General features: G+C 40.8%; 1 protein-coding gene across 22 annotated transcripts in view; it reads right to left on the bottom strand.

Annotated features, from left to right (window-relative positions):
• Positions 1–16,830, bottom strand: part of YEATS2 (YEATS domain containing 2) — a 114,828-nt gene that overhangs the window by 90,220 nt on the left and 7,778 nt on the right. For 15 of the 22 annotated variants that reach the window (NM_001351370.2, NM_018023.5, XM_011512965.2 and 12 more), the window contains exons 2-5: positions 7,143–7,261; positions 4,657–4,754; positions 3,813–3,905; positions 269–514 (exon numbers count right to left, since the gene is read on the bottom strand). In NM_001351370.2, the coding sequence (NP_001338299.1) occupies positions 269–514; positions 3,813–3,905; positions 4,657–4,754; positions 7,143–7,242 (537 nt within the window). In that variant the 5' untranslated portion in view covers positions 7,243–7,261. Of the gene's footprint in view, positions 1–268; positions 515–3,812; positions 3,906–4,656; positions 4,755–5,971; positions 6,059–7,142; positions 7,262–12,113; positions 12,167–16,830 lie in introns of those variants that run through there. The other 7 variants (NM_001351369.2, XM_047448533.1, XM_047448537.1 and 4 more) reach the window with 3 other exon arrangements.

Genomic DNA, 16,830 nt, shown 5'->3' with positions numbered 1-16,830 from the left:
AAGCAGGAGAATGGCGTGAACCCGGGAGGCGGAGGTTGCAGTGAGCCATGATCCTGCCACTGCACTCCAGCCTGGGCAACAGAGCAAAACTCTGTCTCAAAAAAAAAAAAAAAAAAAAAAAAAAAAGATTTGGTTTCCCCATTATAAAAGGAAAACAAACCTATTTCCTAAGATTCCTGTGACAGTTCAGTGAGATAACAAGCGCATACTTTAGTAAATATAGTTCCCTTCTCCTGTGGCTCCCTCCCACATCCACCCATCTATATACCCTTCCAGTATTTCGGCTTGGTCTCTGCTCCATGTTGTTTGAGAGTCTTTCCTCTATATCCATATTGCTGTTATTATCTTTGTCAGATAAGAAGTCATTGTGCTGAGATAAAGAATCACTTTCTGAATGATTGGCTGATGGTGTTTCTGCTCTCTGATTGGCAGGAGATGATGACCTAGATGGTGATTCCAAAAATTTCTTGATAGCAGGATGATTAAAAACCATTGTATCACATGTCTTTGATCCCTACAAAAAATGAAAGCAAGCAAATAAATTTTTAATCAAATCCATCAAAAGCAGGCAAAAATCTGATCTCTCCAAAACCTTATCTATTACAGGATCATGCTTAAAATCTTTCAAAATCTCCCCACATCCATAAAATGATATCCCAACCCCTTAGCACAGCCTGAACCAACCAAACAAAAACTAGAATGATGAATAATTATGTAAAGTTTCTAACACTAACAGCTAGAGATGTAGGGTCTTCCGGAGGTAAATGAGAAATAATATATGTTAACACAGAAAATAAAATCTGACTTTAAAAGTCTCACATTGCTTTACACAAACATATCAACTGCTCTAAATAAAATATCCCTGAAAGAAATATAAAAATACAAATAAAAAGCTGTATATATAAAATGGTCCCCACATAAGAGTAAAATGTAATAGAGAATATTTTTGAATGACTAATACTGATTGTATTAAGTTTGCCTTCAGTTCAGTATAGACATCTATGGAATTTTTCTGTGTCTTAGTTACTTGCATACAAAATACAGTGTATTCTGTTATTATGTGATAACACTGTAGTTATGTTCCTAGGAAGCCTAGCTTTTAAAAACTGTGTTATTAAACTAATGGTTCTAGAGAGAAAAAAGGAGGTAGAAGCTAGTCTTTCAAAGCAACAAAGTTCTTGAATTTCAATAATAAAGGTTTTTCAGAGCTATAAATGTTTTGCCACTGAAAACTAAAAATAATTAAATGGTTGATCACGAGACAAAAGCATACCTAAATATCCCTGAATAAATCCTAATCAAAACATAAGAGGATAAAATCAGCATATTTCCAGACTATCAAATAGCACAGATCAGAACTGCTAACAATTCAAAGACAGAATCATTGCTCATGTAATCAAGTTAAGGTGAAGTCAATGAAGTCCTCCTCGCTTATAAGAAGAGGGAAACTTGGACACAGACACACAGAGAAGACACACACAGAGGGAAAACAGCCACATCATTGACAGGCAGAAATTACAGCCGGGAAATACTAAGGATTGGCAGCAACCTCAAGAAGCTAGGAAGAGGCAAGGAAAGATTCTTCCCCGGAGCCTTAGGAGGGAGCACTGCCCTGTTGACACCTTGATTTTGGACTTCTAGACTTCATAATAGTGAGATAATAAACCCGTCCTTTTACATCACGAAGCTTATGGTAGGTAATTTGTTATGGTAGCCCTAGGAAAATGAATACGATTCTAACATGCATCTGGGAAACTGTGCCACACTAAAAGAAGCACCTGTCTACCGTTTAAAATTCAACTCAAATAATGCTCTAGTTTCTATAAGACAGCATCAGGAGCAGCACCAATACCAGGTGTCCCTAGAGCACCAAGGGTAACATGAAGGCCTAAACATGACAAGCACCATTTACTGTTACCCTCCAGCCCTTCCCTGGTTCCCAGTGAGCCAGCACTGCTCCAGAGGTGATTCAGCTGAGACTAATTCCAGCTGAAAACACTTAGGAAAAAGAAAGTAAAAAGAGAAAAAAACGAAAGTTATGCTGAAATTATCAAAATATCAAATAGGAAGAAATACTCCTATTTCAGGTCAATCCTAACCCCTATGCCTGAATTTAGACAGATTACTAGGATAAAAGAGCAGATATTTTTCATTTACATGTCAAAAACTAAATTGGGAAAAAACATTCCTTTATAATTGGAATAATCTAGTGGTGATCACATTAACCAAGTGGTCAAACTTAGTATCACCAGCAGGACAACCTGGAACTAGGTGCCTGCTGATATGCTAGAATATCAAGTACACAGCATCACTACGAAGTATTCTTGCCAGAAATATTTAACCCAAATCTATATATAATATATATAATAACCAAGCCTTTAGACTTAACTTCCAGTTTACAAGAAAACAGGATGAAAAAGTAATCCAAGGAAAACATAAATCCAAAATGTGAGATATTCATAAATGGCCTGGTTTCTCCGAAAAGTCAGGATCATGGAGGGAAAAAGGTAGGAGGACCATTTTAAATCTTAAAAAACTAGAGAAACAAAGCTGCAGTCCTAGCTACTCAGGAGGCTGAGGCAGGAAGACTGCTTGAGCCCAGGAGTTGGAGGCTATGTGAAGGTGGAGGCTATGTGGAGTTGGAGGCTATAAGTGAAGCTATGATCGTGCTTGTGAATAGCCACTGCATTCCAGCCTGGCCACATACCATGTCTCTTTTAAAAAAAAAAGAAAGAAAACAAAAAGTAGAACTCAGGGCTCATTAAACAGGGTAAATCTGAAACTAAAAATTGCCATTCACTAGACTAAAAGGTCAAAGAAAACTCAATCAATTTATAAATTACTCCAAAGTGGGCCACAATCAAGTGAGGCACTAGGGCCAGTTCAATGAGGTCTCAATCATCTTTGTATCTGCAAAGCCTAGCATAATGCTAACAATTAGGAGGAAAAGAATTACGTAAAAATGAAAGGCTGGGCCCGGTGGCTCACGCCTGTAATCCCAGCACTTTGGGAGGCCAAGGCAGGCAGATCACATGAAGTTGGGAGTTCAAGACCAGCCTGACCAACATGGAGAAACCCCGTCTCTAGTAAAGTACAAAAAAATTAGCCAGGCATGGTGGCGCATGCCTGTAATCCCAGCTACTTGGGAGGCTGAGGCAGAAGAATCACTTGAACCTGGGAGGCCACTGCACTCTAGCCTGGGCAACAAGAGCGAAACTCTGTCTCAAAAAAACAAACAAAAAAAAAAAAAAGGAAAAAATATTACTTAGGATTATTGACAATGCGGAAAGTCACAACTGAAGGACTATGGTTGAACACAATGACTGATAAGTCTATGTATAGTCTATGTATATTCCCAGGAAGTAGGCTAGGCTTCTTGGATTCTGAAGGTCAATGTAAGAAGTATTTTAGGCCAGGCATGGTGGCTCATGCTTGTAATCCCAGCACTTGGGGAGGCCAAGGTGGGTGGATCACCTGAGGTCAGGAGTTCAAGAACAGACTGGTCAAAATGGTGAAACCTCGTCTCTACTAAAAATACAAAAATGAGCTGGGCATGGTGGCACACGCCTGTAATCCCAGCTACTCAGGAGGCTGAGGCAGGAGAATCGCCTGAACTTGGGAGGCAGAGGTTGCAGTGAGCCAAGTGCCACTGCACTCCAGCCTGGGTGACACAGCGAGACTCCGTCTCAAAAAAAAACCAAAAAACAAACAGAAAGAAATGTTTCAGATGCAGGGATTCCATATTGACATAACTTCCCCTCAGACAACAAATATGAGTGGCTGGAAAATGACTGGGTATGAGGAATGCTTACCTCAGAAACTTTTAGAAGACCTGCAGAAGCATAGTAGTTTGCTACAATGCAGGCACGCAGTTTATCCATCATCCTTCTTGCTTCAATCAGTCGCTAAAAACAAATGTTAACTCATTACTTTAAAAAACGGCAATTATAAAAGAGATGTACAAACAATTCACAAAATAAGAAACGTGAATGAGTGAAAAAAAAAAGCTCAACTTCTCTAACAATCAAAAGAAAAACAAATAAAAGTGACCTTTTCCACCCATCAGATTCGCAAAGATTTAAGAGAAAGACAAAAGTGTTGCAATGAATATGTACATTTATGTGTATATTCACTGAGAAAAATCCACAAAGACACTGAACACAAGAGCAAAGAGGGATTATCTTTTTTAAAAACACTTTTTAACTGTTGTGGGTACACAGTGCACATGTTTATGGGACACGTAAGATATTCTGATAGAGGCATACAATGCATAATAATCACATCCGGGTAAATGGGATACTCATTACCTCAAGCATTTATCCTTTCTCTATGTTACAAACAATCCAATTTTACTCTTTTAATTATTTTTAAATGTACAATAAATTATTGTTGACTGTAGTCACCCTGCTGTGCTATCAGAAGATTATCTTTTTGAATGGAATTCCAGGTAATATTTCTTCAATCCTTTCTGCAATTGCACTATTTAAAAAATAGCATTTTCTCTCCCCAAAACATGAAAGCTATTTAAAAAAAAAAAAAAAAAAGCAAAGAGGAGGATAAAGCAAACTGTGACTCCATCTCAATAGATTATTTTTCAATCATGTATACATTTTTTTCAATAGCTTTGGTGTTTATTTCAATTTATCATCATTATACCTGGTCAATGACTTCAATTTCATGTTCCTTATTCTTCATTTCAAGAGCAAACTGTTCTTTGATAATAGTCTCAATCTTCTGCACAGCAGCATCTCGAGCTGTACAAAGAACATAAAATACATCCAAGGCCTAATTAATCAGTGACTGTCTTTATTTAAGTCAGCAAGCAACAAAAGAAATCCAAGAAATAGTAACTCTAAAGTGGAGAAACCTAGTGGACATCACCTTAACCAAGTGATGAAAAACTGAAACCACTAATATTGGTGTAAAGTGATCTCGTGTACTTTCTAGTATCATGCCCTAAAAAGACACCATTCTATGGTATTCCTGTCAAAAATGCTGAATCTACTCACAAGGAAAGATTAGACAAACTCAAACTGAAAGACATTCTATAAAATTATTGGCCTATTCTATTTAAATATTAAAGACAAGAAAGAAAGACAAGGAAAGGGTTGAGGAGACTGAGAGAGACTAAAGAGATATGACAGCTAAATGCCCTGTATGTCCTGGACTGGATCCTGCGGGGAGGGAAATAGCTATAAAATACAACACTGGGGGCCAGGCATGGTGGCTCGCACCCGTAATCCCAGCACTCTAGGAGGCCCAGACAGGTGGATTACCTGAGGTCAGGAGTTTGAGACCAGCCTGGACAACATGGTGAAACCCCGTCTCTACCAAAAATACAAAAACTAGCTGGGCGTAGTGGGGGGTACCTGTAATCCCAGCTACTTGGGAGGCTGAGGCAGGAGAATCGCTTGAACTTGGGAGGCAGAGGTGGCAGTGAGCCGAGATCGTGCCACCGCACTCCAGCCCGGGTGACAGAGCGAAAAAAAAAAAAGACACAAACAAAACAAAATAACATATGCAAAGAGAAGCATCCCACCAAATCTACTTTGAGAAAAATTCTGGTGGGGGGAGAAAGGTTAGCATTAGGTAGAGCATGGACACCAAGAAAAAGAATAGCAGATTGTCACTCAGTAACAAACAAAAAACTGCCCCTGCTTGAAAGGGGGTATTTTGGAACTTACATTCAATTTAAACTGAGTTTCAGTGTTATTAAAACAATCACTTTTCCCTGTTCTTGTTTTTATTTTAAAAAGTTATGCCATGTGAAGCTCTTGGGTAATGAATTAAGTTACATAACACTCTAACATTTATTTGGCTTGTAATTGAAAGGAAACGGTATTTCCTCTAAAATTACAGCTGAATGAGGAGGGAAAGTTGCAGCAAAATGTTTTCACTATTTGGGATTGGATTTAACAATTTTCCTTCTATACAGATTTTCTGGGGATACGTAGGACTTCACTGCTCTTACAGAAATAGGAATTTTCTTCACCATTTCCACTCTACGGATCCTATGTGGAACTGCAACATCTGAGCTATGACTGACGCCTTCTTTACCCTGTTAAAAGTATTAACTTAGGTAGATTATTTAAATAAACATTAATGAAGTTCAGTAATAATTTGTTTTAATAATGTAAATTTAGTGTTGCCGGGCGCGGTGGCTCACGTCTGTAATCCCAGCACTTTGGGACGCCGAGGCGGGTGGATCACGAGGTCAGGAGATGGAGACCATCCTGGCTAACACGGTGAAACCCCGTCTCTACTAAAAATACAAAATATTAGCAAGGCGTGGTGGCGGGTGCCTGTAGTCCCAGCTACTCGGGAGGCTGACGCAGGAGAATGGCGCGAACCGGGGAAGCAGAGCTTGCAGTGAGCCGAGATCACGCCACTGCACTCCAGCCTGGGGGACAGAGCAAGACTCTGTCTCAAAAAATAAATAAATAAATAAAAAAGTAAAGTTAGCAATTTTTTTAAGCTTGCTTAAGACATTCTGAGGAACAACAGACACCCAGTTGATGATTTGCTCTTCAACTACTTATATATGTTAGGTAAGTAATCTGATGTCTCTGAACCTTAATTTATCTACTATTAGCTAAGTACAAGGGTTGAACTAGATCGATGTTTCCTAATCTTCTACCATTCATATGCCTTCAAGATAGCTACCACATCTGAGAACCATATGACACATTTAATTAACAAGCATTTAAAAATAATTTTAGCTTTATCCTTGTAGCTATGGAACTACAAGTTTGATGAGATCATTCTTTTTTCTATATACATTAAAATGTTACCTATTAAAATTAAAAACCTTAATCCATGTACCATCTATGACCATCTCACGATTATAGCACACCTTTATACATATCATAGACTTTATGATTACACCTAACATACAGTGATCGCTAAAACTCACAGTTTGTCTCGCTTTCACTGTCTGCTTGATCATGTTCCTGCCAGATCTTCTTCCACTTTTTACAGCACACATGGTGTATTACTATTAAACAGATCCCTTAGCTAATCTCTCTCACGAACCCCTTCAAATTATACATAACAGTGGAAATTCATTTCATTCTAGTTCCTGTAAGTTTTCTAGCGGAGGCATATGTCAATAAAGAAATAATTTCCTAAGGCAGGATTTCTACCTGAATTCTCAATTGCTTTATGCCGCTTATTTGGAAGGGCCACAGATACATCCTCGTAATCAGGGTCGGTTTCTTTGATGGTTCGCTTGATTCCAGACATGATGACATTCAGTTCTTCACTGTGAAGCAATGATAAATTAATAATTTTTAATTATTCAGTTAAATAGTTGGGTTGTAGTAACACTGCATACCAGTACTTACAAATATATGTGTACAAACAAAATAAATAAATAAATATTACATTAATACTGGTACTTGCAAGTCTGTGGGTATGTGTATATACACACATATACATATTTCTTTTAAGGCCAAAAGCCTAAGTTTAAAAGTTTCCACCAAAAAAAAAAAAGAAATCATAATCATCTGTTAACAAGCATGGGTTTCCCTTTCAAGAGAAAAATCCTTGAACAAAGTAGCACATTGTTCAGACTTTTCAAAAGGAGCCTGGCTTTCATGGAAGAGCCCTCATAAGGAAAGGAAAGGAACCAGACTTTGATGAAAACATGGTTAGCCCACACAGTGTCTTAGAATTCACTAAGCATTCAGCATATTAGAAAATATAAGCAACATAGTTAAAGGCTCAATAAATAATTGATTATACAGATCCTTTCTCTGGTACTTAGCAGGTATCACTATTACTGATCATTATTACAATAAACACAAATCTATAGACTTATATTAAACTAATTAACAAGTCTGCAATACGGTAAACAAGCCCCACATACACAAGTCTTTGAATAAAACAATCCCATTAAAAAAAAAATCCCGGCCGGGCACGGTGGCTCACGCCTGTAATCCCAGCACTTTGGGAGGCCGAGGTGGGCGGATCACGAGGTCAGGAGATTGAGACCATCCTGGATAACACGGTGAAAACCCGTCTCTACTAAAAATACAAAAAAAAAAGACGGGCATGGTGGCAGGCACCTGTAGTCCCAGCTACTCGGGAGATTGAGGCAGGAAAATGGCGTGAACCCAGGAGGCAGAGCTTGCAGTGAGCTGAGATCGCGCCACTGCACTCCAGCCTGGGAGACAGAGCGAGACTCCATCTCAAAAAAAAAAAAAAAATCCCATAAATCCTCTAGACCTTTACTGTCTCAGTACATTAACCACTAGCCTTATGTGGCTGTTTAAATTAAAATTTAAAAAAATTTAAAATTATGGGCCGGGTGTGGTCGCTCATGCCTGTAATCCCAGCACTTTGGGAAGCAAAGGTGGATGGATCACGAGGTCAGGAGTTCGAGACCAGCCTGGCCAGTATGGTGAAACCCCATCTCTACTAAAACTACAAAAATTAGCTGGGCATAATGGTGGGCACCTGCAGTCCCAGCTACTCAGGAGCTGAGGCAGGAGAATTGCTTGAACCCGGGAGGCAGCGGTTGCAGTGAGCCGAGATCGTGCCACTGCACGCCAGTGTGGGCGACAGAGCAATACTCCGTCTCAAAAAAATTAGTGCTCGAGAGTCACCGTAGCTAGTAGCAACTACATTGTTCAGTGTAGATACGAAACATTCACATCACTGCACGAGTTTATTGGACAGTGCTCCTCTTCCAAAGTGCTTCATTAAGCAATGATACATATTTCATGAGTCAGTTTCAGAAATATCATCCAGACCAGTGCTGTCCAATAAAAATATAACATGAGCCACGTACAGAATTTAAATTTTCTAGCTGCCAGGTTTCTTATTGATTGATTGATTGATTGAGACGGAGTCTCACTCTATTGCCCAGGCTGGAGTGCAGTGGTGCAATCTCGGCTCACTGCAGCCTCCGCCTCCCGGGTTCAAGCAATTCTCCTGCCTCAGCCTCCTGAGTAGCTAAGATTACAGGCATGCACCACCACACCCAGCTCATTTCTGTAATTTCTGTATAGACAAGGTTTCACCTTGTTGGCCAGGCTAGTCTCAAACTCCTGACCTCATGATCCACCTGCCTTGGCCTCCCAAAGTTCTGGGATTACAGGTGTGAGCCACCGTGCCCAGCCACAGCCACGTTTGAAAAAGGGAAGTGAAATGGGTGAAACCAATTTTAACAATATATTTTACCTAACCAATATATCTAAAATATTATCACCCCAACAATGTAATTGATATAAATAAATCAGCAATTAGATTTTACGTTATATTTTTACCAAGTTTTTAAAATCTGGTGTGTATTTTACACTTACAGGACATCTTAATTTGTATTAGCGGCCTGTACAGGCCATGTACAGGCAAGGTGGCTCACGCCTGTAATCCCAGCACATTAGGAGGCTGAGGCAGGCAGATCATTAGAGGTCAGGGGTTCCAGACCAGCCTGGCCAACATGGTGAAACCCCGTCTCCACTAAAAATACAAAAATTAGCTGGGCCTGGTGGCGGGCTCCTGTAATCCCAGCTACTTGTGAGGCTAAGGCAGGAGAATCACTTGAATCCAGGAGGCAGAGGTTGCAGCGAGCCAAGATCACACCACTGCACTCCGGCCTGGGCAACAAGAGCAAAACTCTCTCGAAAAAAAAAAAAAATTTGTATTAGTATTAGCCACAATCCTAAGGCTCAATAACTACTTGTGGCTGGTGGCTCCCTTTCTTCGCAGCCTGGATCTATTGATTAAGATAAGGAAACAGGTCCAGGGTGGTTAGATTATCCCTTACAGTGTTAATCTATGAAAGAGACCAGAATAGCTCTCTGATTTCCAAATCTCTGTTCTACCACTAAGGAAGATTCCCTAGCCAGAGGCAGAATTACTGAGGTAACAACATGTTTTAAAATAAAATTAGGCTGGCTGCGGTAACTCACGCCTGTAATCCCACCACTCTAGGAGGCTCAGGCAGGTGGATCACCTGAGGTCAGGAGTTCAAGACCAGGCTGGCCAACATGGTGAAACCTCGTCTCTACTAAAAATACAAAAAAATTAGCTGGGCATGGTGGCTCATGCCAGTAATCCCAGCTACTCAGGACGCTGAGGCATGAGAATCGCTTGAACCCAGAAGGCAGGTTGCAGTGAGCCGAGATTGTACCACTGCACTCCAGCCTGGGAGACAGGGTGAGACTCTGTCTCAAAAAATAAAATAAAATAAAATAAAATAAAATAAAATAAAAGAACATAAAATGCTAACTCAAAAATACTCATTTTGTATTCACTCAAAGTTAAAACAAAAATAACAATTTAGGCCGGGTGCAGTGGCTCATGCCTGTAATCCCAGCACTTTGGGAGGGCAAGGTAGGCGGATCATGAGGTCAGGAGTTCGAGACCAGCCTAGCCAACATGGTGAAAATCCATCTCTACTAAAAATACAAAAATTAGCCAGACGTGGTCATGTGAGCCTGTAATCCCAGCTACTCAGGAGGCTGAGGCAGGAGAATCGCTTGAACCCGGGAAATGGAGGCTGCAGTGAGCCGAGATCATGCCATTGCACTCCAGCCTGGGTGACAAAGCAAGACTCCATCTCAAAAAACAAAGAAAAAAAAAAAACACACTATTTAAAAGTCCCTCAGCTCTTAGTCCAGTTCTTTCACTCATCTCAGAAACAGACTCACTTGACTCAGCTAGGAGAGTGGCTCATTATGTAATGTTACATATGGAAGTCCCACATCTGAGAGAACACTTTTCCTACAGCTGTTATCTGCTGTTATATCACTAATCTTAAAAATATTCTAAAACCCCCAGAATTTATAAACATCATGAATCAAGCCATTTAATGTTTGTTCATATTCATCCGTTACCTGCTACAATTCAGAATATAAATGACTATTTTTGGACAGGCCCAGAACCCAACTATTATGTTTTATGTTTAAAGCTTTTTTTTTTTTTTTTTTGAGACAGAGTCTCGCTGTCTCCCAGGCTGGAGTGCAGTGGCGCGATCTCAGCTCACTGCAAGCTCCACCTCCCGGGTTCACGCCATTCTCCTGCCTCAGCCTCCCGAGTAGCTGGGACTACAGGTGCCCTCCACCACGCCCGGCTGATTTTTTTTTTGTATTTTTGTGGAGACGGGGTTTTACTGTGTTAGCCAGGATGGTCTCAATCTCCTGACCTCGTGATCCGCCCGCCTTGGCCTCCCAAAGTGCTGGGATTACAGGCATGAGCCACTGCGCCCAGCTGTTTAAAGCTTTTAAAAAGTAAAAGTAAGGTCTTGTTTCTTCAGCCTTCTCCATTTGGTCTGCAATTAATTTTAGACAGCCTCAGAAAATCTTGGGCTGTTACATAAAAAAGACAACTTTAAAAAAAAATAAACTTAATTTATTCTTCCTTAATGCAGATAGGAATCTAAAAACACCTAATTACACATGAACCTAGAATCAGAGGTGGATATAGCCCAGCAGATACCTAAACTTGTCCTTGTACCATACTACTTCCTCATCAGGCACCTGTCTTCCACAGTTTGCCAAGAGTCATAGGAGATTATCTACAAAGATGAGTCCCCCTCCAGCATCATCCTCACTTATCCATTCTACAGACTTCATAATCTGTATATTCTTATCCTACCTTCCAAGTAATCTCAAGAATAACGGTGGCTCCCACTAAAATGGCTGGGGATCCTTGAAGAAAAGTTATTTTTATTTTATCCTCACTTAAGGGACTTAAAAAAAAAACCCTCTCTTTGACTTTTGGTGTAAAACTGGAAGACTAGGAAGAGAAAAGAGAGGAATTTGGGGAGGGGGTGGGCAGAAAGGAAGAAACCAACAATGAGTTCATTTGTGCTGCCAAGATAATTCATTTTTTATGCAGCCTTTAGAATAAAGCTTTTCTTGTTGCATGTGGGCATATATTTGAGCTTCTTATAAACACATTTAAGAGGATTAAGCTCTATACTGGGCATTTAAAAATAATCCAGGTCTGCTTCTGTCTCACAAGAATAATAATGTGTAATGTGCACATGTCACATGCAAGTAACTGCTAGCTAGCTAAGACTAGGCACATCTGCTGAGGCATGCTCTCATGATGATATAATAAATAAGTGAACAGAATGTGTAACAAATGACCAATGATAACATTACCTTCTGGACTCTTCTTGTCTGACTTGTAGATTTTATGAAAAGGAAACATGAGCAGTTGTTAGATATGGTCAATTCAACTTGGAAACAAAATGTCCAGCTAATCCTCTATAGCTTCTGAATCAGCTGAAATTGAAAATACTGAGATGGTACTAGGAACTGCTAGGAAAAAAATCTGTTATCATATACAATTTGACTGTGAGAAAGAATTTTCTCTATACTCTGAGACAAAAACTGAATACGGAAATAAATGTAACGCTGCGACTAAAATAAGACTACTGTCATCCATTTCTCCAATTTAAACTTTTTATCTCGGGTCAGGCATGGTGGCTCACGCCTGTAATCCCAGCACTTTGGGAGGCCGAGGTGGGCGGATCACAAGGTCAGGAGATGAAGACCATCCTGGCTAACATGGGGAAACCCCGTCTCTACTAAAAAAAATACAAAAAATTAGCCGGGCGTGGTGGCGGGCACCTGTAGTCCTAGCTACTCCGGAGGCTAAGGCAGGAGAATGGCGTGAACCCGGAAGGTGGAGCTTGCAGTGAGCCGAGATCACGCCACTGCACTCCAGCCTGGGTGACAGAGCAAGACTCTGTCTCAAAAAAAAAAAAAAAAAAAATTTATCTCATTAAAACAGCCTCATTATAAAAAGTAAATGTGGGCAAGATGCAGAGGCTCAGGCCTGTAATCTCAGCACTTTGGGAGGCCAAGGCAGGTGGATCACTTGAGGTTAGGAGCTTGAAACCCACCTGGCCAACATGGTGAAACCCCATCTCTACTAAAAACACAAAAATTAGCCGGCCATGGTAGTGCATGCCTATAGTCCCAGCTACTCGGGAGGCTGAGGCACGAGAATCTCCTGAACCTGTGAGGAGGCAGAGGTTGCAGTGAGCCGAGATCATGCCACTGCACACCAGCCTGGGTGACAGAAACTTTATCTCAAAAAAAGAGTAAATGCTTTCAATTTAAATATAGAAAATAAATGATTTTTTCCATAAGTAACACAAGAAAACAAAGCTTTATAGAAGTAAATGCCATCAATTAAAACATACCATATCCATTCAAATAACATAACCAAGTCTGAGTTTTTGACAAAGGTTAGAAACCAAAAAGAAAACCAAACTTTTTTTTTTTGAGACAGAGTCTCACTTTTGTCGCCCAGGCTGGACTGCAATGGCATGATCTTGGCTCACTGCAACCTCTGCCTCCTGGGTTCAAGCTATTCTCCTGCCTCAACTGTCTGAGTAGCTGGGATTACTGGTGTGTGCCACCACTCTCAGCTCATTTTTTTATTTTTAGAAGAGACGGGATTTCACTATGTTGGCCAGGCTGGTCTCGAATCTCTGACCTTGTGATCCGCCCACCTCGGCCTCCCAAAATGCTGGGATTACAAGTGTGAGCCACCGCGCCTGGCCAAAAAAAATTTTTTTAGAGACAGAGTCTTACTCTGCCATCCAGACTGGAGTACAGTGGCACAAGCATAGCTCACTGCAACCTTGGAATCCTGGGCTCAAGTGATCCTCCTGCCTCAGCCTTCCGAGTAGATGGGACTACAGGTGTGTGCCCATACCTGCTAATCTTTTTATTTTTTAAAGAGACGGGGGTCTCACTATGTTGCCCAGAGTGGTCTTGAACTCCTGGCCTCAAGAGATCCTCTGGCCTTGGCCTTCCAAAGTGCTGAGATTTGTAAGCCACCACCCCTGGCCCCAAACAAAACATTTAATGTTTTATACTTTAAAATAAAACCCAAGAGAAAAATAATTTTGAAAAGAAAATTGTATAATAAAAACCATAAAGATGATGTAATGTACAGTCACTGGAAATTCGAGGTCTTAGCTCTCGAGTCAGGGAAGATGGAGAACCCCAGAAGCCAGTCCTAGAACTCTACCATTGTGTTTTGCAAACACATCATATAAGATGTGGCCAACAACATGGTGAAACCCCATCTCTACTAAAAATACAAAAATTAGCTGGATGTGGTGGCGAGTGCCTGTAGTCCCAGCTACTCGGGAGGCTGAGTCAGGAGAACTGCTTGAACCCAGGAGGCAGAGGTTGCAGTGAGCCGAGATCGTGCCACTGCACTCCAGCCTGGTGACAGAGCAAGACTCCGTATCAAAAAAAAAAAAAAAAAAAAGTGGCCAATTCTTGAGGAGAAAGGAGTAAAATCTGATAAATTAGACACTTGAAAGATTTGCCATATATCATATGAGGTATCATCTCAATAATTCTATGTGCCTCACATCATTTGAATATCAGAACCACTGAACTTGGGGCTCTCACTCAAGACTTCCCATCTGGTTTAAAGTTGGGGAGGGGGACGCCGGGCATGCTGGCTGCTCACGCCTATAATCTCAGCACTTTGGGAGGCCAAGGCGGGTGGATCACGAGGTCAGGAGTTCGAGACCGGCCTCATCAACACGGTGAAACCCCGTCTCTACCAAAAATACAAAAAATTAGCTGGGCATGGTGGCATGCACTGTTATCCCAGCTACTCAGGGCAGGAGAATTGCTTGAACCCGGGAGGCAGAGGTTGCAGTGATCCGAGATTGCGCCACTGCACTCCAGCCTGGGTGACAGAGTGAGACTTCGTCTCAAAAAAAAAAAAAAAAAAAAAAATAGGTGGGGAAGGGGAGTAGTACAATCATTTTCTATCTGCTTCCATACAGACAGGCATTCCTAAGATGCTGATAATGATTTCATAGTTCCTGGCCCTGTCCTTTCTACAGTCTTAAAAGAAAATACATTCTCTTTTGTAAACAAGACAACCAGTGTTCCTTTATTAAATATCTGAATAAGACTCTACAATCCATTTTCCATTAGCCAATGACATTTCAAAAATGTCTCAAAAGTCCAAACCAGAGGAATGGACGAACAAATCGTGGTATACTCAATGAACTCTTGATGCAGGCAACAACAGAAATGAACCTCAAAATCATTATGGCAAGCCAAAGAAGGCAAACACAAGAGTACAAGCTAAATTATCCCACTTAAGTTCTAGAAGAGACAAATTAATCTATAGTGAAAGAAATGAGAATCATAGTTGGAGGTGCTGGTGTTAGGGACTGACTGGGAAGAGGAATGAAGACTTTTTTCTTAGAAATATTTTATTCAGGTTGAGTATTCCTTACCCAAGATGCCTGGGACCAGAACTGTTTCAGATTTCATACTGTTTTGGATTTTGGAATATTTGCATATACATAGTAAGATATCTTTGGGAAGGAACCCAAATCTAAACATGAAATTCATTTACGCTTCATAAATATCTTACACACAGAGCCTGAAGGTAATTTTATACAACATTTTAAATAATTCAAAACATAACACAAAGTTTTGACTATGTTTTAACTGACCAGTCACAAGGTCAGGTGTGAAATTTTCCACTGTGGCATCATGTTGGTGCTTAAGAAGTTTCAGATTTTGGAGCATTTAAGATTCAGATTTTTGGATTACCAATGCTCCACCTAACTTTTTTTTTTTTGAGACAGAGTTTCGCTCTTGTTGTCCAGGCTGGAGTGCAATGGCACAATCTCAGCTCGCGGCAACCTCCGCCTCCCGGGTTCAAGCGATTCTCCTGCCTCAGCCTCCTGGGTAGCTGGGATTACAAGTATGCGCCACCGCGCCGGGCTAATTTTGTATTTTTAGTAGAGACGGGGTTTCTCCATGTTGGTCATGCTGGTCTCGAACTCCCGATCTCAGGTGATCTGCCCGTCTTGGCCTCCCACAGTGCTCCACTAATCTTAATAAGAGTGTAGGTTAGATGGGTATGTATATCCAATTGCAAAAACACCCAACTGTACACGCAAAATCTGTATTTCACTGTCTGTAAACTATACCTCACTTTAGAAAAGGACAATAAGAATATTTTTCTGATCATGTCATCCCCTGCTTGAATCCTTCAAATAGCTTTTCATAACATTTAGAACAAATTTCCATTCCTTAACATGACCTAAGAGATGTGAACTGCGCCCTGTCTCCCTCTCCATCCTTAATCTTTAAGATCCAGACAGGTTGGTTTTCTATCCCTCAAATATACTCCCAATTTTCCTTTGAGCTTTTGGAATCATGGCTCCTTCTATCTGGAATGCTCTTTTCTTAGGTTAGCTTAATCAGATTCCAGCTGAAATCTCCCCCTTATCAGGGGCCTTCCTTGACCGTGCCCCATCCAACACAGCTCTCCCTACCTTCTCCCTCCAAAGTTCCTGGAAGTGCTCAATATTACTATCTGGAAAAATAAATGAAGGATTTTTTTTTTTTTTTTGAAACAGTCTTGCTCTGTCACCCAGGATGGAGTGCAGTGGTGCGATCTTGGCTCACTACAAGCTCCGCCTCCCGGGTCAGGCCATTCTCCTGCCTCAGCCTCCCGAGTAGCTGGGACTACAGGCGCCCGCCACCATGCCTGGCTAATTTTTTTGCATTTTTACTAAAGATGGAGTTCCACCATGTTAGCCAGGATGGTCTCGATCTCCTCAACTCGTGATCTGCCTGCCCCGGCCTCCCAAAGTGCTGGGATTAGAGGCGTGAGCCACTGCGCCCAGCCATAAATGAAGGATTAACTAAAATATCTGCCAAAATATAAATGACCACAGGGAACATAACTACTACCTTACATTAGTTTTCATCATTAATCTATTTGTTGATATTGCTACATCTTTAAAGGCTCTTTAGCTAAATGTTTAAAAGAATGTACAAAGTTATTATACACAGACACATGCAAACAAAA

This window comes from Homo sapiens, chromosome 3 (assembly GCF_000001405.40).
Source record: "Homo sapiens chromosome 3, GRCh38.p14 Primary Assembly".
NCBI lineage: Eukaryota > Metazoa > Chordata > Mammalia > Primates > Hominidae > Homo > Homo sapiens.
Note: the sequence above shows the minus strand (reverse complement) of the source record. Positions and strands in the feature narration are given on the sequence as shown.